This window comes from Homo sapiens, chromosome 17 (genome assembly GCF_000001405.40).
Source record: "Homo sapiens chromosome 17, GRCh38.p14 Primary Assembly".
Classification (NCBI taxonomy): Eukaryota; Metazoa; Chordata; class Mammalia; order Primates; family Hominidae; genus Homo; species Homo sapiens.
Genome location: NC_000017.11, coordinates 28,365,367 through 28,389,777, shown reverse-complemented (window position 1 = coordinate 28,389,777; position 24,411 = coordinate 28,365,367). Strand labels below are relative to the sequence as shown.

General features: G+C 52.5%; 2 protein-coding genes across 2 annotated transcripts in view, besides 4 other annotated features; one reads left to right on the top strand and one right to left on the bottom strand.

The window, feature by feature from the left end:
* Nucleotides 1-18,084, bottom strand: part of SARM1 (sterile alpha and TIR motif containing 1) — a 32,356-nt gene extending 14,272 nt beyond the window's left edge. Inside the window, exons 1-7 of the mRNA NM_015077.4 lie at nt 17,276-18,084; nt 7,957-8,575; nt 5,209-5,421; nt 4,848-4,939; nt 4,503-4,738; nt 1,502-1,604; nt 1,239-1,428 (exon numbers count right to left, since the gene is read on the bottom strand). Of these exons, the coding sequence (NP_055892.2) occupies nt 1,239-1,428; nt 1,502-1,604; nt 4,503-4,738; nt 4,848-4,939; nt 5,209-5,421; nt 7,957-8,575; nt 17,276-17,745 (1,923 nt within the window). The 5' untranslated portion in view covers nt 17,746-18,084. The remainder of the gene's footprint in view (nt 1-1,238; nt 1,429-1,501; nt 1,605-4,502; nt 4,739-4,847; nt 4,940-5,208; nt 5,422-7,956; nt 8,576-17,275) is intronic.
* Nucleotides 4,762-4,831: an enhancer, noted in NCBI's record as "active region_11925". NCBI's record gives its function as "activates an Ori minimal core promoter by ATAC-STARR-seq in GM12878 lymphoblastoid cells {active_cell/tissue: GM12878}" and the evidence as "EXISTENCE:reporter gene assay evidence [ECO:0000049][PMID:35858748]".
* Nucleotides 9,522-9,722: a silencer, noted in NCBI's record as "peak2778 fragment used in MPRA reporter construct". NCBI's record gives its function as "represses an SCP1 promoter by STARR-seq MPRAs in K562 erythroleukemia cells {active_cell/tissue: K562}" and the evidence as "EXISTENCE:reporter gene assay evidence [ECO:0000049][PMID:32103011]".
* Nucleotides 17,532-17,701: a silencer, noted in NCBI's record as "silent region_8338". NCBI's record gives its function as "represses an Ori minimal core promoter by ATAC-STARR-seq in GM12878 lymphoblastoid cells {active_cell/tissue: GM12878}" and the evidence as "EXISTENCE:reporter gene assay evidence [ECO:0000049][PMID:35858748]".
* Nucleotides 18,022-18,351: a silencer, noted in NCBI's record as "silent region_8337". NCBI's record gives its function as "represses an Ori minimal core promoter by ATAC-STARR-seq in GM12878 lymphoblastoid cells {active_cell/tissue: GM12878}" and the evidence as "EXISTENCE:reporter gene assay evidence [ECO:0000049][PMID:35858748]".
* On the top strand, nt 19,471-22,494 carry VTN (vitronectin). The gene is made up of 8 exons (NM_000638.4): nt 19,471-19,638; nt 19,732-19,851; nt 19,927-20,271; nt 20,350-20,489; nt 20,750-20,906; nt 21,105-21,257; nt 21,719-22,063; nt 22,297-22,494. The coding sequence occupies exons 1-8, from the start codon at nt 19,575-19,577 to the stop codon at nt 22,407-22,409; spliced, it is 1,437 nt and encodes a 478-aa protein (NP_000629.3). The 5' UTR covers nt 19,471-19,574; the 3' UTR covers nt 22,410-22,494.

The window sequence follows — 24,411 nt, the reverse complement described above, 5'->3', positions numbered from 1 at the left end:
TAGCTGGGATTACAGGTGTGCGCCACCATGCCTGGCTAATTTTTGTATTTTTTTAGTAGAGACAAGGTTTCACCATGTTGCCCAGGCTGGTCTCGAACTCCTGACCTCAAGTGATCCTCCTGCCTCAGCCTCCCAAAGTGCTGGGATTACGGGTGTGAACCACTGTGCCCAGCCCTCTGGGCATATTCTTGTCTCTGAGCTGACTGCTTGTCTCATCCTGTCTCTTAGATGACTACTGCATCCCTCAGCCCCAACTCCAATTCCTACTGACCGATTAATGATTAATAACCTGAAGATGCAATATGGAGCTATCCATCAATGCATTCTGTTAGTATTCAATAAGTTCCTACAATGCGTCAGGCACTGAAAATACAATGATGAATTAAACAGATATAGTAGTTATAATAATTATATTAATAATAATAATTGCTACCATTATTGAGCAGTTACTATGTGCCAGCCATTCTGCTAAGCACTTCACAAATTTTGGCTTTTTTAGTCCTTATAACAATGTTCTAGGGAGTTAGATACTATTATTATACCCTCTTTCCAGAAATAAATATGAAGCTTATCGGGGTTAAGTAACTTGCCCAAGGCCAGAGCCAGGATTCAAACTCTCAGTTTTGAGCTCTCAACAACTATTCCATTCTGCCTGTCGCTATGCTCTCCTGTCTCTCATGGAATTTATTTTTCAAAGCATTTTTATGTCTCTCTGATCCTCACAACAGTTCTATAAGGTGAGTGGAACAGGTAAGTTACCCCATTTTGCAGAAAAGAAAACTGAGGCTCACATCCTGGCTAACACGGTGAAACCCTGTCTCTACTAAAAATACAAAAAAATTAGCCAGCCGTGGTGGCGGGCACCTGTAGTCCCAGCTACTCGGGAGGCTGAGGGAGGAGAATGGTGTGAACCCGGGAGGTGGAGCTTGCAGTGAGCCAAGATCACGCCATTGCACTCCAGCCTGAGTGACAGAGCGAGACTCTACCTCAAAAACAAAAAAAAAAAAAAAAGAAAAAGAAAACTGAGGCTCAGAGAGCCAAAGCCTAGTCTCTTGTCCCTTGTGGTTTGCTAAAGTCCTATTACAGTCAGAGCTGTGGTTCCTGACTTCCAGCTGGGCCAAGGAGGTGCTTCAGGGCTAAGTGTGCCGGGATGTGCAGACAAGAAGGAATAGAAGACGACCCTATCTTCTGGACCACAGGCCAATGCTGGGACCGCAGAAGCATAGGCAGGCACCTACCTTATGCACCCAATCCTTGCAGTCATGGTCTTGCATGCACTTGTCCAGTGCTCCAGGTGATAGCACCAACACAAAGTTGCGGGCACCCATGACACTCTGGATGAGTTTGTCCTCGAACTTGCCTGCTTCCAGCTTCTCCACATCAATGAAGACACTGAAGCCATGCAGCTGCAGGTGCACCTTCAGGAGACTGCAAGTAAGTCCTGTGTCAGTGCCACAGCCTTGTCCCCACGCCCCGTCGCTGCCCGCCCGCCCCTCCTCACCTGGCCAGCTGGGAACCTGAGTTCCGGCGGTAGCTGATGAAGACATCTGGAGTGTCCCCACTGGGTTTGCCACCAGTACAGGGCAGCGGGGAGTGTAGCATTTCTGAAGTGGGCAATAGGCAGCATGGTGAAGGTGGCCCCTCCGCATCACTCACTGTCAGGTATATCATCCCTTGTGGACTTAGTCCCCAGTCCACCAAGCCCTCTCAGCCCAGCCTGGGGAGGGTGGCCTGCCCCAAAAAGGAGAAATGGGGCCTCCAGGAGGAAGGTCATGTTATTGTTGGGTTCCTCTTAGGAGGCAGGCACTGTGTTCTAGGGACATTGATATGCATGCACTTCCAGCCCTGACCTCTCTCTGGAACTCCAGACCTGAACAGCCAGCTGCCCACAATCACTCCAAATTCAACACACCCCAAATCTCCCCCTCATTCCTTCTTCCCTATTTCCCACCAAAGCCAGACACCTGGGTATCAGCCTCAACTCCTGCCTCCCATTTAATTTATTCAACAAATACATCCTAAGCACTTGCTGTGTGCCAGGACTGTCTTCAGTGCTTGAGATTCAGCAGTGAGTAAAACAGACAGCACTCTGCTCCTCTGGAGCCACGCTCAGTACTAAGCGCCAGGCACCGCATTCTGAGGATTCTACCTACTAAACATACTGGACTCCAGCCTCCGGGCCCTTCCCTGGCTCAGGTTTCCAATGCCAGCCTCCTCAATGGCCTCCCCAAACCCAGCTAGAATTGCCCAGTCTAGGCCAGGGCAGTGGCCCACACCTGTAATCCCAGCACTGTGGGGGGCCAAGGTGGGTGGATCACTTGAGGCCAGGAGTTCGAGACCAGCCTGGCCAATATGGTGAAACCCTGTCTTTACAAAAAATTATCCAGGCATGGTGGCACATGTCTGTAATCTAGCTACTTGGGAGGCTGAGGCACGAGAATCACTTGAACCCAGGAGGCAGAGGTTGCAGTGAGCCAAGAATGCACCACCGCACTCTAGCCTGGGCGACAGAGTGAGACTCTGACTAAAAAAAAAAAAAAAGAAAAGAAAAGAAAAGAAAAGAATTGCCCAGTGTAGTCCATTTGCCACAGCTACCAGAACATCTTTCTAAAATCCAAATCTGAGCATGTCATTCCTCCCACTTAAAAACTATGCATGGCTCCCTACTCACTATACAAACTATTTTTTGTAAGCTATTTTTGCCCTAGGATTTTCCTGTTGTTTAAAAATGAAATCTTGCGCTGGGTGCGGTGGCCCACGCCCGTAATCTCAACACTTTGGGAGGCTAAGTTGGGAAGATTGCTTGAGGCCAGGAGTTTGAGAACAGCCTGGGCAACATAGTGAAACCCTGTCTCCACAAAAAATAAAAAAATTAGCTGGGTGTGGTGTTGCGCACCTGTGGTCCCAGCTACTTGGGAGGTGAGGTGGGAGAATCACTTGAGCCCGGGAGGTTGAGGCTTCAGTGGGTTGTGATTGCGCCACTGCACTCCAGCCTAGGTGACAGAATGAGACCTTGTCTCAAATTAATTAATTATAATAAAAATGAAATCTTGAAGTTTTAATGGGAGCTGCAATGTAAAAATAATAAAAGCCAACCTGCTTTGGTTGAAGCATAAGAATGCAGCCAAAGCTCAGTCCCTTGTGTCTTGTGGGTGCTTAGTCTGTAATTGCTGAATGAAAGGATAAAATGAAAAGAATTCATCTTCTTATAATATTTAGACATAACCCTCATAGACAACATTTGTTTGTTTATGAAGCAGAAAGACAAGGGCTCAAGTCCCAGTTTTGCCATCTAATGACTTTTATGACTGTGGGAAATGTATTTGAATTCTTTAAATGTTAGTTTCATTATCTTTAAAAGGAACACCCATGATGGAAATATTCTATATCTTTAATGATGATGGTGGGGGTGGGGGGTCACACAGATGTCTTTCAAAACTCCTCAAACTGATACTTTTTTTCTTTTTTGAGATAGGGTCTCACTCCTGCTGCCTAGGCTGGATGGAGTGTAGTGACCTGATCACAGTTCACTGCGGCCTTAACTTCCTGGGCTCAGGTGATCCTCCCACCTCAGCCTCCCAAGTAGCTGGGACTACAGGTATGCGCCACCACACCTAGCTAATTTTTTGTATTTTTTTGTGCTTTTAGTGGAGATGGGCTTTCACCATGTTGCCCAGGTTGGTCTCAAACTCCTGGACTTGAGCGATCCGCCTGCCTTGGCCTCCCAAAGTCCTAGAATTACAGGCATGAGCCACGGTGCCCGGCCCTCAAACTGGACACTTACTCCTCTTTTTATTCTTTCAAGAGTTCTTTAAGGTTGATTTTAAAAACTGAACACTCATTGCATAGAATCAATATAGAGACTGATGGGATAATATCTTAAAAACCAAACAGAGTACCTTGTAATTGACAATAAAGATTAGCTAAGTAGTAAATTAGTAAGTAAAAATAAATTAGTAAATAAGGAGGGTGGCTAGAGGCCTAGAATTCACTCTAAACCACCTCTAGACCCAAATTTTGTAAGCTGTTGGCCAATAGGATAACACACATACGCACACCCTTCCCGCCTACACCCCACTGCATGGACTCTCCATAGGCCGCTGCCTCTGCCTGGGCTGCCCTTCCTGTTGCCACCCCTCCCCGCCAGTGCACCTCTCAAGACATGGTCAGGCATCCTGTCCTCTCTGAAATCTAGACCTGGGTGGATGGGGTGGGCTGGGCTTCCTCTGTGCTCCCACTGGAGACCTGGGTAGCTTCCTGCCGGGGCCGCTTGCCTGTTTAATAGCCTCCTTCCTCCCACCGCCTACCCACCTCAGACTGGGAACTTCTTGAGGTAAAGTGCAACGTATTCATCTTTACATCCTCAGAGCCCAGTGTGACCCACGTTTGTGCTCAATCAATCCACGGCGAGGCTGGAAGGCTCCACCCCGTGTCTCCCCTCACCATTCCAGGGCCGTGGCTGGGGCTGGGGCTGGGGCGGGGTCCCGGGTGAGCGGGCTGACCTCTGGCCGCCGTGAGGATGCGGGCGCGGTGCACGCCCAGGTGGATGCCGCAGTCTTCCAGCAGCTGCTGCTCAGACACGCGGTGCAGCAGGGAGCGGTCCAGGCCGCAGCTGACCAGGCCGTAGGTGTACTGGCGGAAGCGCGGGTCCAGGCTGCCCAGCCAGTCCGCCAGGTTGCTGCGGTCGCACGTAGAATAGTTGGCGAAGGTCTTGAGCTCCGTGAGCTCCCTAAAGAACCTGCACCCCACGGAGGAGAAGACGCTGAGGTCCAGACTCGGACGGGCTGTGGGCGGAGGGGGAGCTTATTTAGACCTAGCTGGGGTCCGGCGGGCAGGAGGCTCCGTACCTCTTGCGGGTGATGCCCGATTTCATGCCCAGGTCGGTCTGGAGTTCCTCCTCCGTGAGCCGCAGAAGCAGGTCGCCATCCACCTGCTGCTCCTGGGGGAGGAGTCGGGTGTCAGGAAGGGCTTCGCTACTCCGCCCTTGGACCTCGAGCACAAGATGCAAGGGAAGGAACTGGAGATGGCGTGGAGGAGGCGGATGGGACCTAGATCAGAGCCGAGTGACCCTAACGGTGGCTGCGTACAGGCTCCCCGCCCCCAAAAGCGACCCTGGCGCCGCGGGATTGCGAGGCGGGGAGGGAACGCAGTCCCTGTGCACAGGGCGCCCGCTCTGACTCGGGGGAGGCGTATCCCACGCGACTCTACCCGGAAGCTCTCGCAGTACTTGGAGAAACCGATCTGCTGCAGCCACGTCTGAACCTCGGCCTCCTTCCAGCTGGGCACGGAGGGCAGGATGGGCCGTGGCACCTCCTCGCCCAGCAGGCGCAGCGCGCGCTTGGCCAGCGCCGACTTAGTGCCATTGGTAGAGTAGGAAACCAGGCGTTTCAGGCTCTGGATGGCGCCGATGTCGCTGAACACCTAGGGAGGGAGTGGGGAGAGGGCTGTAGGTCCCACCAGCTCTCCAGGTGCTCCCACACGTGCCCAGTCCCTCTCCTTGTCTCTTCTCACAACCCAAAGTCTCTCCATCTGCCCTGGCCCCACCTTCAGCCACTAAGTCATGGGGTCCTGCGGATTCCCCCTCCTGAAGTTCTCTCAATTCTTGACCAGGTCCTGACTCGGATGGGTTGGGGGCGGAGGGGCCTATCCCTCCTTTATATCCCTTCTACAGCATCCACCGGCCCTGGAATAAAGTTGAGCTCTCAGCATAGCGCCAGGCAGGGCACAGTGCAGCTGCCCATCACTCCCAGTTCACCTCACCTTCCACTAACTTACACTTCACACACACACGCACATGCACACATTCCAAGGCTTTCACACCTCTGGGTCTTGGCCCACTATGTTTCCAAACCCTTAGTTCTTCCAGTCTGCTCATGGGAATCCTCCCACTCCACGGAAATCCTACTCATCCACCAGAATCCAAATTGATTAGCACCTCCTTCATGCAGCCTGCTTTGATTCCCCCACATCCTGGCCCACACCTCCAATGAGGTCTTATACCACACTCTGAATGCCACTGTCACTGGTTGACGATGCAACTTCCACTGGAGTATAAGCTGAGGACATGTCTTAGTCACTACTGGAAACCTGCATCTGGCACGATGAAGGACACAGAGTGGGACTCGAGATGTCTTTGTTGAACTACACTCACTTGGCCTCGATGGGAAAGGGGTGACAGGCTGGTGATCATGGTTGCGGCCCAGATCCAATCCTTGGGGTCCTCACTCCCTACTTCCTTTAAGACCCTTTTCCCTAAGCAAAATGACCTGCCTTGTAGAGCAGGTCCTCCCTGACCCAGCTCTGGAGTGCAGAGAGAAGAATCAGAAGTTCCTAGAACACTGGATGTTGAAAGAGGCCCCAGAGACCCCCCTAACATAGCAGTCTCCTTTTTCTTTTTCTTTTTTGAGATGGAGCCTCACTTTGTAGCCCAGGCTGGAGTGCAGTGGTGCGATTCCAGCTCACTGTAACCTCTGCCTCCCAGGTTCCTGTGATTCTTCTGCCTCAGCCTCCCGAGTAGCTGGGATTACAGGCACCTGCCACCATGCCCAGCTAATTTTTGTATTTTTAGTAGGGACAGAGTTTCACCATGTTGTCCAGGCTGGTCTTGAACTCCTGACCTCAAGTGATCCACCTGCCTCGGCCTCCCAAAGTGCTGGGATTACAGGCATGAACCACCTCACCCAGCCAGCAGTCTCTTTTTGATCTGCAGGGACATACATGATGGGTGACAATCATCTGTAAGACACACTCCTTTGAGCACCCCCAGATGACAGCTGGGGTACAGACAAGGTGGGTCATGGGGTATGCACCACATCTCTGTGCACCAGCTATCACCAACCTCCAAGCCTCCACAAAAAAATGCAAAGAAGAGAGAGTGATATTGTAGGGAGAATCTTCAACCTGTAACATTTTAAAAACAAAGCCCAGCTGGGGGATTGTGGTGCGTGCTTGTAGTCCCAGCTACTTGGGAGGCTGAGGCAGAGAGGATCGCTTGGAGCCTGAGAGTTTGATGCCAGCCTAGGCAATATAGTAGATCTCTGTTTCCAAAAAGTACAATCCACAAACTTGTGGTGCTAAAACTATCCCACATCTAGGGTAAGAACTGCTGCTGTGGTCCAATTTACTGAATTTTCCAGAAGATAAAAATGAGGCCCAGATAGAGGCCTAGAGAGGGGAAGCCAGGTGCTCAAGGTCACACAGCAAGTTAAAGCAGTGGGCAAAGGTCACTGGTGGATTAGGCCCTGGACATGAGGACCCCTTGGGACTCCGATGGGGGTTATCTGGCTGACACACTGATGTCCTGTCCCAAGCCGCAAGCCTCTGTCTCTAACAGCCATCTTGACTCCAGACTCAAAAGGCTACACTACCCACTGAAGCTCCCCAGCTGGGCATCTCTCAGGCATCTCAAACTCCATATGTCCTGCAGAAGTCACTTTCTTCCCCTTCCCCACTTCCACTTGTCTCTCACCCAGTTCACTTTATTCATTGCCTATGTTCAGGGCCAGGAGTCATCCTCAGCTCCTCTTTCTCCTTCTCCCAGCCACCAAGTGCTAACTCCATCTCTTAAACATCTCTTGAATCTGCTCTCTGCCACTGGCATCGCTGTCTCCCCCTTCCCCCAACGCCCACCCCTGCAAGTCATAGTTTTTTATTGGGTTGCCTTGCCTCCGTCCTCACCCTTGCCAAGCCCCTTTCCACACAGCAGCTAGGATGATCTTTGTAAAACACAAGTGTCCCCTTGCTTAAAAGCTTCTTAGTGTCTTCCTCTTGCCCCCAAAACCAAGTCCAAACTTCGGGTTTGCCTTCAACGCCAAAATGACTGGCCCGCTCCTCCTTTGTCTTGCTTCATCTAATTCTGATGTGTATTTCAAGACCCGGTTGAATGTGACTTCCTCTGGGAAACCTTCCCAAAGGCTCTCTAACCCCTGATCCACCCAACCCCACATCTGCACCCACCTTGGTCTTGCCTTGCAGGCTCTTGATGGCAGCCTCGGCGCAGAGGTAGAAAGCCCCGATGCACTGCGCCTCCAAGCGGTTAGAGTCGAGCAACGGCACGAGGCGCTGCAGGTCGTCGGGCCCGCGGCCCTGGCTTGTGTCGCTGGCGTCCACCAGACAGCGGGCGAAGCGGCCAGGGTCCAGCGAGGCCACAAGCGGCTCCACGAGCGCCAGCGTGCCCGAGCGCTCCACCTCGCGCTCCACCTCCTTGTTAGTCGCCAACACCGCTACTGCGAGGCAGGCGTGCAGCCGAAGCAGCTCGTCCTCCTTGGAGAAGGCGAGCGGGAAGAGCCACTCGGCTGCGCGCTTCTCTACCATGCGTCGCTGCACCGCCTGGCCCCCGTGCAGCGCGCAGTTGCCCAGCGCCAGCGCGCAGTGGCGCAGCAGCGCGGGGTCCGTGCGGCGGCACCAATACAGCACCGCGTCCAGGCCGCCGGCCGCCACCAGCCTCTGGCATGTCTCCTCCGAATGCTTGAACATGTGCTCCAAGATGCCTGCCACGCTCCGCGCCAGCTCTACGGGTTCGCGTTCCTTCGCCAGGTTCAGGATCACGCCCAGCCCAATGCGCGCCACGCGGTCTCTGCCCAGTGAAAGTGGAAGGGGACAGTGGAATTGCCGCAGCTTGGGGAGCTTGGCTTGCCCGTTTGGGGCCTGGTCACTAACCCTCTCTGGGCCTCACCGGCCTCATATAGGGGAGAGCATTCCCCTCCCTGCTCCCCACCCTCATCTCCTCCCCTGGGAGGACCCCACTTCTCGGATTCTAAGGGTGCTCTATTCTGGCCATAGCCGTTCTCCCCCTCCCTCCTCCCCTTGAGAGGCAGTATGTGTGGTGGCTAAGAGCCTCAGCTCAGGAGCAGATCCCCTGGGTCCTGGTTTCTTCTCAGCCCGTTTTCTAACTGGGATAAAGGAGACCTTTGGGCAGCTTCCTTTATCTCTCTACCTTGCTTTCCTTATCTCATAAATAGAAAATAGAAATACCTGCCTCATAGGATTATTATCAGGACTAATGAGATAAGCCTTATAGAGTGCTTGGCACAATGCCTGGCACATGGTAAAAACTCAACAAATATTAACTTGTCCTAATTTGAAGTGTCACTTGAAGCACACCACTCTTAGCCTTGCCTTTTCCTCACTCCATGGCCCATGACCGGGGCATATCTATTCATTCATTCAACAGATGCTTCCTGAGGACGTCCCCTGTGCCAGCCACTGCACTAGGGGCTGAGGTTTAACAGAGACTGGCCAGAGCTTATCCTCAGGGCGATGGAGGAAGACATAGACAAGAAAACAATGAGTGAACCAGATCGTAGTGATAGGGCCTTGGCGCTAGCAAAACAGGATGATGTAATGGCGTGTGCCTGGAGGAGGGGTATGTGGGAAGAGGTGACATCTAAGCTTAATGTGAAGAAATCCCTGTGTGCAAATATCTGGGAGGAGCATAACAGGCAGAGAGAGGAGCAAGGATGAAGGCCTGAGGGCAGAGGAGCTGACGTGTTTGAGGAATAGAAAGAATGCCAGAGGTATTGCGATGTCTAAAACCAAAAAGGGAAAATATAAAACCAGGCTGGGCAAGGTGGCTCATGCCTGTAGAATGCTTGGCACAATGCCTGGCACATGGAGGCCAAGGTGGGAGGCTCACTTGAGACCATCCTGGACAACAAAGTGAGACCCTGTGTCAAAAGAAAAAAAAAAAAAAGAGAGAGAGAGACAGAAAAAAAAAAAAAAGAAAAGAAAAAAATCAATGAGGGGTTTATATGTAGAATATATCAGCAAATATTCAAATCAAGAAGAAAAAGGCAACAAATTCAAAAGAAAATGGGCAAAGGACATAAACAGGCAATTGACAAGAGGAAATCCAAAATTTGAAAAACCAGATAAAGAGATGCTCTAACTCATTAGTAATCAGAGAAATGAAAATTAAAACAATAGCTATCGCTACCTGAAATGTTCTTCAACAAAATCCGCTTCATGGTTCGTCATTCCAATGTCTGCTCAAATGTTACTTCCTTCCAATCATCCAATCTAAAGGCTTTTCCCCATCACTTTCTAACTCATTACCTTATTTTATTGTCTTCAGGGCATTTAATATCTGATATTATATTAATAGTCTACTTGTTTGTTAGTTCCATAGACCAGAAACCTTATCTGTCATTTTCTTTCTTAAAATGATCTAGGCCGGGTGCGGTGGCTCACGCCTGTAATCCCAGCACTTTGGGAGGCCGAGGCGGGTGGATGACAAGGTCAGGAGCTCGAGACCATCCTGGCTAACATGGTGAAACCCTGTCCCTACTAAAAATACAAAAAATTAGCCGGGCGTGGTGGCGGGTGCCTGTAGTCCTAGCTGCTCAGGAGGCTGAGGCAGGAAACTGGTGTGAACCCAGGAGGCGGAGCTTGCAGTGAGCCAAGATGGCACCACTGCACTCCAGCCTGGGCAACAGAGCGAGACTCCGTCTCAAAAAAAAAAAAAAAAAAAAAAAAAAAAAGATCTAAATGGAGAAAATTACCCTTTCCTAGAGTTTCTTCACCTAAATCATTTTATTTTATTTCAAAGGCCATTCCCACTCTCCTTTGTCCCTGACCACTCTCCACACACATACCTTGAATAAAATGTTCACTGGCAGAAAACAAGCAAACAGAAAACCAGCTACCACTTTACACCTGTTAGATGGGCAAAATCAGAAGCTGAACAATACAGGCAACCTCTCCCAAAGAGATTGTCATATAGATAGAGAAAAGCACTTAGACAAGGATGTTCACTGCAGTGTCATTTGTAGTGTGAGGAAGTTGGAGGCAATCAGTATCAAGCTTGGGGAGAGTCAGGTAACATGGGCAGGTGCCTACTCTGTAGGATTTGCAGGGAGGTCCAAGTGACTGAGCAGGTGATAACACAGCAACACGAACCTGGACAACATAGCCTGGGCAACATAGCAAAACCCTGTCTCTACAAAATCAAAAAAATTAGCCATGTATGGTGGCACAGGCCTGTAGTCCCAGCTACCTGAGAGGCTGAGGCAGGATGATAGTTTGAGCCCAGTAGGTTGAGGCTACAGCGAGTCATGATTGGGCCACTGCACTCCAGCCTGGGCATCAGAGCAAGACCCTGTCTCAAAACAAACAAACAAACAAAAAACCCAAAAAACAAAAAACAAAAACAAAAACAAAAAAACCAATAAAACCCAACACTGAGTGGGAAAAAGTAAGAAATAGAATGTGCTATATGACACAGCACTATTAATATACATTAAAAATACATGCACACAAGACCAAGAATAAAGATTTAAAGATTTTAGCAGAACACAGATAGAAAGATACACATTAGATATACTGAATGGTTCCTTATGGAGTTAGGGCAAGAGAATAGTGTGGGCATTAGTCAGGAGGAGAAGGAGAGATTGCATTTCAGTTGCATTTCAGGCACAGGTATATGCAAAGAGTTGGAGGTGTTGGAGAGCTGGTGCACTTGGGGAGCTGCCCACACTTCCATGGCTGAGGCAGAAGATTCAAGGGGAGAGTGTGAAAAGAGATCGGACCTGGGGACCTTTTGAGGCACCTCAAGGCATTTGTAGTTTATCTTGATGTCAAAGAGAAGCCACTGAAAACTCTCAGGGAGGGGAGTGGCCTGGCCATATTTGGGTTTTAGAAAATTCACTCTGGCTGTGGTGGAGAGGACAGATCCAACAGAGAGAACTTGGAGGCCTGCTGAGCAGGTGGGAGAGTTGCCACATCCTGGTAGAGGTTCAGGCTTCCTGCCTTACTGACCTCCACAAATGATGTCTTCCACAGATGGCCGGGCGCAGTGGCTCATGCCTGTAATCCCAGCACTTTGGGAGGCTGAGGCAGGAGGATCACTTGAGGTCAGGAGTTCAAGACCAGCCTGGCCAACATGGTGAAACCCCATCTCTACTAAAATTACAAAAATTAGCCAGGTGTAGTGGTGTGCGCTTGTAATCCCAGCTACTCAGGAGGCTGAGATAGGAGAAACACTTGAACCCAGGAGGCAGAGGTTGCAGTGAGCCGAGGTTATACCACTGCTCTCCAGCCTGGGTGACACAGTGAGACTCCGTCTAAAAAAAAAAAGTGATGTCCTCCACAGGTGACATTACTGCCAAAGAGGTAGAGGCCTAGCCAGCAATGGAGTCCTTGCCCAAAGGGCACCACAGTGACCATAGTGCATGTGATTTTGTGTCCACTGCAGAACCTACCTGAGTCCGGAACATGCCATAAGCTCACAGCTCACTGCAGCCTTGGCCACCTAGGTTAAATTCATCCTCCCAACTCAGCCACCTGAGTAGCTGGGACTACAGGCATGTACCACCATGTCTGGCTGATTTTTTTTGTTTTGTTTTCTTTTACTTTGTAGAGACAGGATCCCATTATATTGCCCAGGCTGGTCTCAAACTCCTGGGCTCAAACAATCCTCCCACTTCGGCCTCCCAAAGCGCTGGGAATACAGGCATGAACCACCTCACCTGGCCCAGTTATTCCTTTTACCAATGAGAAAACCAAAACTCAGAGAGGGTACATGACATGCCCAGAGTCACACAGTTTCTGAGAGGCACAGCTGAGATTTGAACCCAGATCTGCCTGTCTCCAGAGTTCAAGATCCTTCACCTTCATTTTGCGTTTCTAGACATCTGACTGCATAAATGCCTAGAATGTAAGAGCCAGGATATGTTTAAGAAATATCTAATGTGGCCAGGTGCGGTAGCTCACGCCTGTAATCCCAACACTTTGGGAGGCTGAGGTGGGCAGATCACTTGAGGTCAGGAGTTCGAGACCAGCCTGGCCAACATGGTGAAACTCCATCTCTATTAAAAATGCAAAAACTAACTGGGCGTGGTAGCAGGTGCCTGTAATCCCAGCTACTTGGGAGGCTGAGGCATGAGAATCACTTGAGCCTGGGAGGCAGAGGTTGCAGTGAGCCCAAGATCGTGCCACTGCACTCCAGCCTGGGTGATAGAGGGAGACTCCATCTCAAAAAATGAAAAATAAAATAAGAAAATTATTTAATCTGGCTGAATGCAGTGGCTCATGTCTGTAATTCCAGTACTTTGGGAGGCCAAGGCAGTAGGATTGCTTGAGTCCAGGAGTTTGAGACCAGCCTGGGCAACATAGAAAGACCCTGTCTCTACCAAAAACAAAAACAAAAACAAAAGATAAGAAGGAAATTATCTAATCCAACACCCTTACTTTTTCTTTTCTTTTTTTTCTTGACAGGATCTCACTCTGTCACCCAGGCTGGAGTGCAGTGGCGCAATCTCAGCTCGCTGCAACCTCCACCTCCTGGGTTCAACTGATTCTCATGTCTCAGCCTCCCAAGTAGCTGGGATTACAGACATGTACAACCACACCTGGCTCTTTTTTTTTTTTTTTTTTTTTGTATTTTTAGTAGAGACAGAGTTTTACCATGTTGGCCAGGCGGTCTTGAACTCCTGACCTCAAACGATTCGCCTGCCTTGGCCTCCCAAAGTGCTGAGATTACAGGCGTGAGCCACCGCCCCTGGCCAGCCAACACTCTCATTTTCAGAGGACTTACCTGAGGCCCAGCGAAGGGAAGGACTTGCTCAGGAACATATCAATTCAGACCTAGGACTTTATTTTGAGTCTCCTGATGCCCCAGCCCTCACTTTTCCCTATGCACCTGGCACCTTTACAGAGTGGAACTGTGCTGCACTCTTGTGATAACTACTCACCCAGCTCCCAGTTCTTCTGTGGTCTGAGAGGCTGTGGGTCTGGTGAAATGGGCAGATATTTTAGAATTACACAGGTCTGGATTCAAATCCCAGCTCCAAAGGAGGGGAAGATTGTATATATATTGCAAACATGTCTATATAATATACATGCAAATGCCTGTATATGCAGAGACTCTCTCTGGAAGGATATACAAGAAACTTGTTATAGTGGTTTATCTCCAGAGAGGGGGTCTGGTTGAGAAGAACTTTTAAAAAATTTTTAATTTAATTTTAAAAAATTGAGACAGGGCTCTCACTATGCTGCCCAGGCTGGTCTCAATCAAACTCCTGGGCTCAAGTAATCCTTCTGTCTCAGCCTCCTAAAGTTCTGAGATTACAGGCATGAGCCACCATGCCTGGCTGAGAATAACTTTTAACTGTATACCTTTTGTGTGCTTTTCCACTTTTTTGAATTTATGTGCAATGGCTTTCGTGATTTTTTTTTTTTTTTTTTTTAGATGGAGTCTCACTCTTGCCCAGGCTGGAGTGCAGCGGCACGATCTCGGCTCACTGCAACCTCCACCTCCCTGGTTCAAACAATTCCCCTGCCTCAGCCTCCAGAGTAGCTGGGATTACAGGCACACGTCATCAAGCCCGGCTAATTTTTTGTATTTTTAGTAGAGACGGGGTTTCACCATGTTGGCCAGAGTGGTCTCGAACTCCTGACCTCAGGCAATCTCCCGCCTGGGCCTCCCAAAGTGCTGGGATTACAGGCATGAGACACTGCTCCTGGCCGCCTTTCTGTGATTTCAAAAACCTGTCTCCTCCATTTATTCATTGAATATTCCTGGGAAAGCCATTTAACTACTCTGAGGATAGCTTCATTAAGATCCCCTGAAGGGGGTGGACTGTGAATATAGAGGGCTAGCAGTCATATGGGGACCTCACTGGGTGTTGTGGGGCCAGATTTGAAGAGCCATATTCTGTTGGACTTCTGGTAGTTGGAAGTCAGGAAAACTGTGACCTAGGCTCCTTGACAATGGGTGCAATAGCATCCTGAGAAGAAGAAAGCAAGAGGGAAGTGGCAAAAAGGGGTAGGCACACTGATGGAATTGTTTTTTTTTTTTTTTTTTTTTTTTTGACAAGGTCTGGCTCTGTCACTGAGGCTGGAAAGCAGTGGCATGATCTCAGCTCATTGTGACCTCCGCCTCCTGGGCTCAAGCCATCCTCCCACCTCAGCCTCCTGAGTAGCTGGGACTGTGCATGCCATCACGCCCGGCTAATCTGTATATTTTTTGTAGAGATGGGTTTTTGCCATGTTGCCCAGGCTGGTCTTGAACTCCTGGCCTCAAGTGATCCACCCACCTCAGCTTCCCAAAGTGCTGGAATTACAGGCATGAACCACCATGCTTGCCCAGAAGAGCCTTCTTTGAGATGAGGCAGTGGGGGCTTGGTTGGTGAAGGAGAAAAACATTTCATAAATTCGCAGTGTGTCACTCCCCTTCTCTTCTTTCCAGCCCCATTCTCATGCAGCCTACAAGGGGTGCAGGGACCCTCCCCTTCTTTTTTCTTTTGAGATGGAGTCTCACTCTGTTGCCAAGGCTGGAGTGCAGTGGCGCGCTCTCAGCTCACTGCAGCCTCTGCCTGCCGAGTTCCAGCAATTCTCCTGCCTCAGCCTCCAGAGTAGCTGGGGTTACAGGCACACACCACGCACCACCACCATGCCTGGCTAATTTTTGTGTTTCACTTGACCTCAGGTGATCTGCCTGCCTTGGCCTCCCAAAGTGCTAGGATTATAGACAGTGCCTTTTTTTTTTTTTTTTTTTTTTGAGACGAGTCTTGCTCTGTCATCCAGCGTGGGGTGGAGTGCAATGGCACAATCTCGGCTCCCTGCAACCTCCACCTCCCGGGTTCTGTGCGATTCTTCCACCTCAGTCTCCCCAGTAGCTGGGATTACAGATGCCCGCCACCATGCCCAGCTAATTTTTGTATTTTTTTTTTTTTTTAGTAGAGACAGGGTTTCACCATGTTGGCCAGGCTGGTCTCGAACCCCTGACCTCAGGTGATCCACCCGCCTGGGCCTCCCAAAGTGCTGGGATTACAGGCGTGAGCCACGGCGCCTGGCGGGGATCCTGCCTTTCTTTGGAAGTATTGTGATAGCAACCACGCACGTTGTGCTCTGTCCTTGGTCCTGAAGAGACCAGCGTGCGTTTCTTGAGACCAGGGACACTGGTTAGTGACTCTTCTCTCGGTAACTCTGAACCAGGTGAGAATTGCCATTTTTAACCTTGAGATATAGCAGTACTGTTTGCATCTTGCAACCCTCCTCTCCTTGGGCTGCTGGCTGTACTCACTCTCCAGGGATTGTAGTTATAGCTCCTGACTCCACATAGCAAGCCTGCAGGGCACACCTACCAGCCTTGACCCCACCACACCCAGTGAGCACATATTTTATTTGCTACCCCCTCCAAATTCATGGCCTATCCCCATCATGGCAACGGATGTCAGATGGGAGGTTAATGGCTTGCCAAATAAGCAGAACCCTATCTTGGTCTCCCAACCTAAATTGCTTCATTCATGCATTTTTGACAGTTGTATCTTTCCACCAATCACCAGGTAATTTTTTTCTTTTCGAAAATGGCAAGGAAAACACCCCCAACCCACTCCCTTCACACTTGTGAGAGCTGCATGAGCTGAAAGTGACTCTTCCAAAAACTCTTCTAAGCTTGAGAAGCTGGAGACTTCAGCATGAGACTGGAGTGTGACAGCTTGGTCTGCTCTGGCATCAGAAGGGAGGGAAAGTGAGTCCTTGGAGGTCTTCATACTCCAGGAGAGATCCCAAGAGACATGCAAGAGTGGCAACCAGGCCTCTGTTTGACCCTCTTGCGGCATCTTGGTGCTAAGTGGGGTGAAGGGAGAGAACACACACTCTGCCTGGTCCCCGCCGGGCTCTGCACCCCGGTGTCCTCTTCCCCCACCCATGCCTCCCAGCAGAAAACTGTTTCCCATCAGCAGCTGCAGAATGAGATCATGTCTGGCCTGTTGCAAGAACCAGAATGAAGGATGGAGCAGAAGTTGGATTGGGGCGGCAAGAAGGGAGTAAGCAGCCTCAGGCCAGCACGCCTTACAGCCTGGGGAGGAGGGAAAGGAGAGGTCTCCCTCCCTCTTTTCTGAGCGTTGTGTTTCCCTTCTTCTCTCATTGGGAGAGGGATGGGATGATGGCGAGAGAAGGTGTCATAGACGGGAACCCAAGCCGGTGGGAAGGAGAGCTGTGGGCTTGGGGGGCGGGGGAGAGGGAGAATTGGCAATAGGATGCCATCTCCATCCATAGAGCCAGGGACGGACTCCTGTCCTGTAACTCCATTCCTCACCCCACTAGCCCTGGGAGCAAATCTTAGTTCACTGTGATCCACTGAGCAAGTCACTAAACTTTCCCAAGGCTCAGTTTCCTTATCTGTGAAACAGACAGGCTGACCCCTAACAGAGATGTAGTGCAGGCAGTCAGAGAGGTGAGGGAGGCAAAGGCACGGCGCAAGGCACACGGGAACGCAGGCGCTTAACTGTCCACACCACGCGGCGCTCTCCCAACCCCGGCCTGGCGCGCTCACCGGTTCTCAGCCACCAGGATCTGCTCCAGCAGGCGCGCGGCCTGCACACGCGTCTCCAACTCCGGCGCCTGCAGCAGCCGCAACAGCAGGTCGAGGCCGCCATCGAGGCGGATGGCGTCGCACAGACCCTGGGCTACCTCGCGGCCCACGGCCGGCAGCAGCCAGGCCTCCTCCACCAGTTGGAAGACCTCGGCCAGGCCGGCGCCCACGGCCCGCGCGCCGCCCGCCTGCTTCAGCGCGGACAAGGCCTGCTGCAGCTCCGGCAGCGCGCGCTCCAGGGCGTCCTGCACCTCGGTGCCTGCCCCCGGCGACACTTCGCGGGGCCCGCGGCCACCCGCAGCCCACCATGGGCCCGTGCCACCGCCCCCATCTGGCCCAGGCACCGCCAGCCGCTCGGCGCCCGGCCGTGGGCCCGACATGGCGAAGAAGCGACACAGCTTGTAGGCGGAGAGAAGCAGCGTCAGGACCATGGGCGCGGGGCCGCGGGGGACATCCCCGGCCTGGAGGCGGGGCCACGCGGAGAGACCCGGGTTTTGGGAAAAGAGGGACCCGAGAGGGGTCGGGGAAAGAAGATGGAGGGGGAGGAATGGAGAGAAGGGTACCAGGCAAGGGTGCCGGTCAGAAGTTTGGGGGAGGAGTGTCGGCAGGATCGGGGGAGCGGTTGGCAAAGGTGATGCAGGCCCAGATGCAGGGAGTGGGCGAAAGGAGAGAGCGAGCAGGCGAGGGATGGCTCCGGACGCCGTAGGGTAGAGGAGGCGGCGGCTGGAACAAAGCGTGGCCTGGGCACGGGCTCGGCTGAGCTGGGAGATGCTCGGCAGCAGCCACGCCCCGGAGGAGCAGCGGTCCCCGGCCGACGCCCCGCCTCTGGGTCCCGCGGGGCTCCTCCAGCCTCCTGCAGCCACGCCCCGGAGGAGCAGTGGTCCCCGGGCCGACGCCCCGCCTCTGGGTCCCGCGGGGCTCCTCCAGCCTCCTGCGCAGCCCCACCCCCAAGCCGTCCCCAGCCACGCCCACGCCCCTGGCCAGCCTTCCCTAGCCCCTCAGTCAGTCGCAGCCACCTCCCCCTGCGCTGGACTTGGAGGAAGGGGGTGGAGAATGAGAGGACGCTCTCCGTTCTCCGCCCCGCCTCCCCGCCCCACGTGACATCGGTACGTGGGAGCAACACCGCTGGATGCCCCCTCCCTACTAAATGGTTAAAACAATCATCATAACTCTTAAGGCCCTTTTATGGCTGTTTCTTAGCGAAACCTCACAACATGCCTATGGGGTGGGAATTGATGTTCCATTCCACAGCTGACTCCACTGAAGCCCATGAGGAAGAAATTGGCCCAAATCACAGTCCCCTCTGATTACAGAACAGAAAAAGTCAGCTAAAATCTCAGGATCACTTTTTTCAGGTGATGGGAGGATTTCAGAAGTTCTGTGGACACCTGAAATTGGGCACAAAATCAGGTGTTTCATGCCAGTGGGCATTTTCCAGGTAGAGGGATCATATTTCTCTCGAGAGTCTAAAAGTGTGTTGAACAAGCCCACTCTTTACAGATGGGGAGACTGAGCCTGGGGACAGGGAGTGGCCTGCTCAGAAAAGACTCAGAAATTAAATCCAGTCCAGTGGGTTGATATTTACCCAAATTTCCAGCCTGGGGAGATTGATGCACCCAAGAGAAGAACCCAGAAATGAAACTTTGTTCTTTTATGCTAAAAAATAAAATTCCCCAGAGTGCTTACAATCTCTCCTCCCACTCCCTTTTTCCTGCCCTAAATAAATAATGGCGAATGAGCACCCAGCCAGGGATGTGTCTGATCAAACAATCATGGATCAATAGCTATGTTTGGAGAAGGAATTTGTGGCTGCTCCAGCTACTGGGCATTTTGTCTGGTCCAGTTCATGTAATCTCCCAACACCCCATGAAGCAAGGCTTTGTTAATCCTATTTTACTGAAAATGAACTAAGACTCAGAGAGATAAAGCTGTTGCCCAATGAGCCTTCTTTCTGCCCTCCAGATCCACGGTGCTAATTCCCCTTCCGATGACCTAATGATTCTGAGCTTGGCAAAGGTCTTATCTCCCAGCTCGCCCAGGCCCAGTGTTCCAGGAATGTGACCTTTGCTGCAGCAGCCGCTGGAGGGGGCAGAGGGGATGGGCTGGAGGTTGAGCAAACAGAGCAGCAGAAAAGGCAGTTCCTCTTCTCCAGTGCCCTCCTTCCCTGTCTCTGCCTCTCCCTCCCTTCCTCAGGCATCAGAGCGGAGACTTCAGGGAGACCAGAGCCCAGCTTGCCAGGCACTGAGCTAGAAGCCCTGCCATGGCACCCCTGAGACCCCTTCTCATACTGGCCCTGCTGGCATGGGTTGCTCTGGCTGACCAAGGTACAGGGGAGTGTTGGTGGCCATCTGGGTCAATGTAGGGAGGGCGAGGGTGGTCTGGGCTTGGTGGCACCGACTGACACTCCTTCCTCATAGAGTCATGCAAGGGCCGCTGCACTGAGGGCTTCAACGTGGACAAGAAGTGCCAGTGTGACGAGCTCTGCTCTTACTACCAGAGCTGCTGCACAGACTATACGGCTGAGTGCAAGCCCCAAGGTGTGTTCAGAGCCCAGGTGGGTGGGCTGGGGTGCCCCCTGCTGCTGGAGACTCACTACCATCCACTCTCTGCAGTGACTCGCGGGGATGTGTTCACTATGCCGGAGGATGAGTACACGGTCTATGACGATGGCGAGGAGAAAAACAATGCCACTGTCCATGAACAGGTGGGGGGCCCCTCCCTGACCTCTGACCTCCAGGCCCAGTCCAAAGGGAATCCTGAGCAGACACCTGTTCTGAAACCTGAGGAAGAGGCCCCTGCGCCTGAGGTGGGCGCCTCTAAGCCTGAGGGGATAGACTCAAGGCCTGAGACCCTTCATCCAGGGAGACCTCAGCCCCCAGCAGAGGAGGAGCTGTGCAGTGGGAAGCCCTTCGACGCCTTCACCGACCTCAAGAACGGTTCCCTCTTTGCCTTCCGAGGTGAATCCAGGGCAGGTACTGGGGATGCGGGTCTGCCCCAGGAGCGTCCCTGCTCTCACACCATCTCCTCCACTCTAGGGCAGTACTGCTATGAACTGGACGAAAAGGCAGTGAGGCCTGGGTACCCCAAGCTCATCCGAGATGTCTGGGGCATCGAGGGCCCCATCGATGCCGCCTTCACCCGCATCAACTGTCAGGGGAAGACCTACCTCTTCAAGGTGCCAGGGGCTGTGGGCCAGGGTAGAAAGCATCTAGGGAGGGTTTGAGAGCTATTGCTCCCAGGGACAGGGTGGACAGGGAAGCTGGACCCAGGGCCCTGCAGGACCTGGTGGGAGCTCTGTGAGCACAGGGCAGCCCCAAGACTCCAGGTCCTGGGCAGTGAACCTGGACCTGGGAACGGCTGCCTTAGGGCAAGGGACTCTGCCTCTGTGCCCAGCCAGCGGCCTCCATACCCCTTTTCACTTTCCCCACCTCTTAGGGTAGTCAGTACTGGCGCTTTGAGGATGGTGTCCTGGACCCTGATTACCCCCGAAATATCTCTGACGGCTTCGATGGCATCCCGGACAACGTGGATGCAGCCTTGGCCCTCCCTGCCCATAGCTACAGTGGCCGGGAGCGGGTCTACTTCTTCAAGGGTACTCAGGGGGTGGTGGGAGACTGAGCAGGCAGTGGAGCAGTCTTGGATTCCTTTCACATTTCACTGGGGACAGGCCTCAGCATGTGCCCACCCCTGACCCCCACCTCATGCTGGGAGATCCTAACTTCAACAGCCTCTGGGATCTCCAGTCTTGCCCTGGCCCAGCCCTCCTAATGCCCACCACCCTGCTCCTCAGGGAAACAGTACTGGGAGTACCAGTTCCAGCACCAGCCCAGTCAGGAGGAGTGTGAAGGCAGCTCCCTGTCGGCTGTGTTTGAACACTTTGCCATGATGCAGCGGGACAGCTGGGAGGACATCTTCGAGCTTCTCTTCTGGGGCAGAACCTCTGGTATGGAGAGAGGGCAAGTCTTGCTTCTCCCTCAAAAGGGCTGAAACCCCTTGGTATTGGTAGAGCCAGGCCGGCTGGAGGGGGCTGTGGTTGTGGAGCTATCGATCAAAGTCTGTTTGCTCAGGCCAGACTTTGCTTCTGTTGACCTTTTGGGGAAAGCTCAGCTCTACCTGGACCCCACACCTTGGACTTTGCCTAGCACAGCTGAGAGCACAGCCAGCAGAGGGAGGGGCTGTGGCTGAGGAGTTTAGGGGGCCTGGGGGGGTGGGGTCGAGACACCAGTGATATGGTGGAGGGAAAGCACAGGGGGAAGGGAATTGGACTGAGAGTCAAAGGCCTGGCTCTGCCATTCGCTGCTGTGTGTCTTTGGGCAAGGTGCAGCAGATGAACTCTAATGGCCCCGCTGGAAGGGGCAAGATTCGGACCCCCAAGACCTCTCATTCACCCCTTCCCTGCCACAGCTGGTACCAGACAGCCCCAGTTCATTAGCCGGGACTGGCACGGTGTGCCAGGGCAAGTGGACGCAGCCATGGCTGGCCGCATCTACATCTCAGGCATGGCACCCCGCCCCTCCTTGGCCAAGAAACAAAGGTTTAGGCATCGCAACCGCAAAGGCTACCGTTCACAACGAGGCCACAGCCGTGGCCGCAACCAGAACTCCCGCCGGCCATCCCGCGCCACGTGGCTGTCCTTGTTCTCCAGTGAGGAGAGCAACTTGGGAGCCAACAACTATGATGACTACAGGATGGACTGGCTTGTGCCTGCCACCTGTGAACCCATCCAGAGTGTCTTCTTCTTCTCTGGAGGTAGGAGCCGCTGCCACCCCTGAAGCTGGTCTAGCTTGGGTTTTCCTTGCTGTCCCTGGTGCACAAGGGCTGAACGCAGCCTGCAAGTAGTGACCACAGAAAGCCAGGCCAGAAGTCCTTAGCTGCATCATGGATGTTCACTTTCCCTTCTGGGAGAGACCCTAGACTTCTCAAGGGAAGAGTGGGCAGGGCCAGGCTGGGCCTCACGCATCCTCTGCTTTCCTCTCTTCCAGACAAGTACTACCGAGTCAATCTTCGCACACGGCGAGTGGACACTGTGGACCCTCCCTACCCACGCTCCATCGCTCAGTACTGGCTGGGCTGCCCAGCTCCTGGCCATCTGTAGGAGTCAGAGCCCACATGGCCGGGCCCTCTGTAGCTCCCTCCTCCCATCTCCTTCCCCCAGCCCAATAAAGGTCCCTTAGCCCCGAGTTTAAAATTATTGTTCTGACTGGGGTAGACACATCCCTGTCTGGGTAAAGGAGAGGAAGCTGGACTGTCAGAATGGGTTGGTGAGGGGGACAGAGAAGGGACAGAGAAGGGCCTCGCCGTGTCCAACCCATGTTGGGCTCAGGACCTCTCTGTGCTCAGGACCTCTCTGTGAACCGGTTTGGGGCTGGGGAAGGCCTCCTGAGAGCTACCCTTCCTCTTGAGCTAAGCAGCCCCCAGCAACCCACCAGCAGCTAAGCAGACACTTGAACTCCTCTGATGATGACAAAGTTACCAGGCCAGCCTCCGTGGGTGAGGCTTGCTTTGCCCCTTGGAGTTGACTAGGGTCTTGGAGGAGAGAGAAGGGGCAAGAGTTGGTGGGGTTCTGGCTCAGCTTTTTTGTCCATCCTGATCTGAAATCCTAGTAGCTCTGACTCCTGAGCACTTGGGGAACCAGTCACTGTGCTTCCCCAAACCCACCCCTAGGGTGAGCCTTTCTTGAGGTCTCTGTCTAGGGTCTAGGATGGGGAGCAGCAAGACCAGGAGAGATAGTGAAGGGCAGAAACTGAAAGGAAATTCAAAAGCACACACTTCTTGTGGAAAAGTGGCCCAGGAGCCCAGGAGTTTGAAGCTGCAGTGAGCTATTATTGTACCACTGCACTCCAACCTGGGGAATAGAGTGAGACTCTATCTCTAAAAACAGAACAAAATAAAAAAGGGGGGGAATTTTTGTCTGGGCATGGTGGCTCATGCCTGTAATTCCAGCACTTTGGGAAGCCAAGGTGGGAGGATTGCTGGAATCCCGAAGTTTGAGACCAGCCTAGGCAATATAGCAAGACACCATCTCTACAAAAATAAATAAGTTAGCTGGGCAACTTATGGGTGGTGTGTGCCTGTAGTCCCAGCTATTTAGGAGGCTGAGGTGGGAGGATTGCTTGAGCTTGGGAGGTTGAGGCTGCAGTGAGCAGAAATCACACCACTGTACTCCAGCCTGGGCAACAGAGTGAGAAAAAGAAAATTTAGGCCAGGCACGGTGGTTCATGCCTGTGGTCCCAGCACTTTGGGAAACCAAGGCCCGTGGATCATGAGGTTAGGAGTTCGAGACCAGCCTGGCCAACATGGTGAAACCCCGTCTCTACTAAAAATACAAAAAATTAGCCGGGTGTGGTGGCAGGCGCCTGTAACCCCAGCTACTCCGGAGGAAGAGGCAGGAGGTGGAGTTGCTTGAACTCGGGAGGTGGAGGTTGCAGTGAGCCAAGATCACGCCACTGCACTCCAGCCTGGGTGACAAAGCAAGACTCCATCTTGAAAAAAAAAGAAAAAAGAAAAAAATTTTCAAAATTTAAGAAAAAGTGGCTCAGAATATATCCAAGGAAGAGAATACTGTACACATAAACATCTTTATCATCTTTCTTAGAACCCCTCAACTGCACCTGTGGAACCTCCTCTGGTTCCAGGTTCCGAACCCCAGGAAGTCCATCTGGCTCTTGAGGGGCCAGAGAGAGAAAGGGTTAGATGAGGCAAAGCTCTAAAGCAGACCTGAGGGCAATCTGGTGGTGACATCTGTTCCCCAGTCCTGCTGACAGCGGCTGGCTCCCATTCATCCCGTTGACACCCTACCATCCTTCTCATCCTGTCCCACTTCACCAGCCCAGTCCCCAGTTGTGGGAGAGGACTCCACTCCCTCTCCCCTGAAGGTAGCCAGGTTCAGAGCACTAAGGGCTCCAGAAGGGGCAGCCAGTGCCTGGGAGCACTGGAGAGATGGTTTTCTTTGGCTGCCTGGAAGGACCCCTGGGAGGATTTTCATGAAGTATAGGATTTCAGGCACAGACTGCCAGTTTGAGGTTTGAGAAGGGATGCTGGGTCCAGCTTCCTTTGCGAGGCCTTGGAGGGGCAGGGGGTATACAATTTGCCCCACC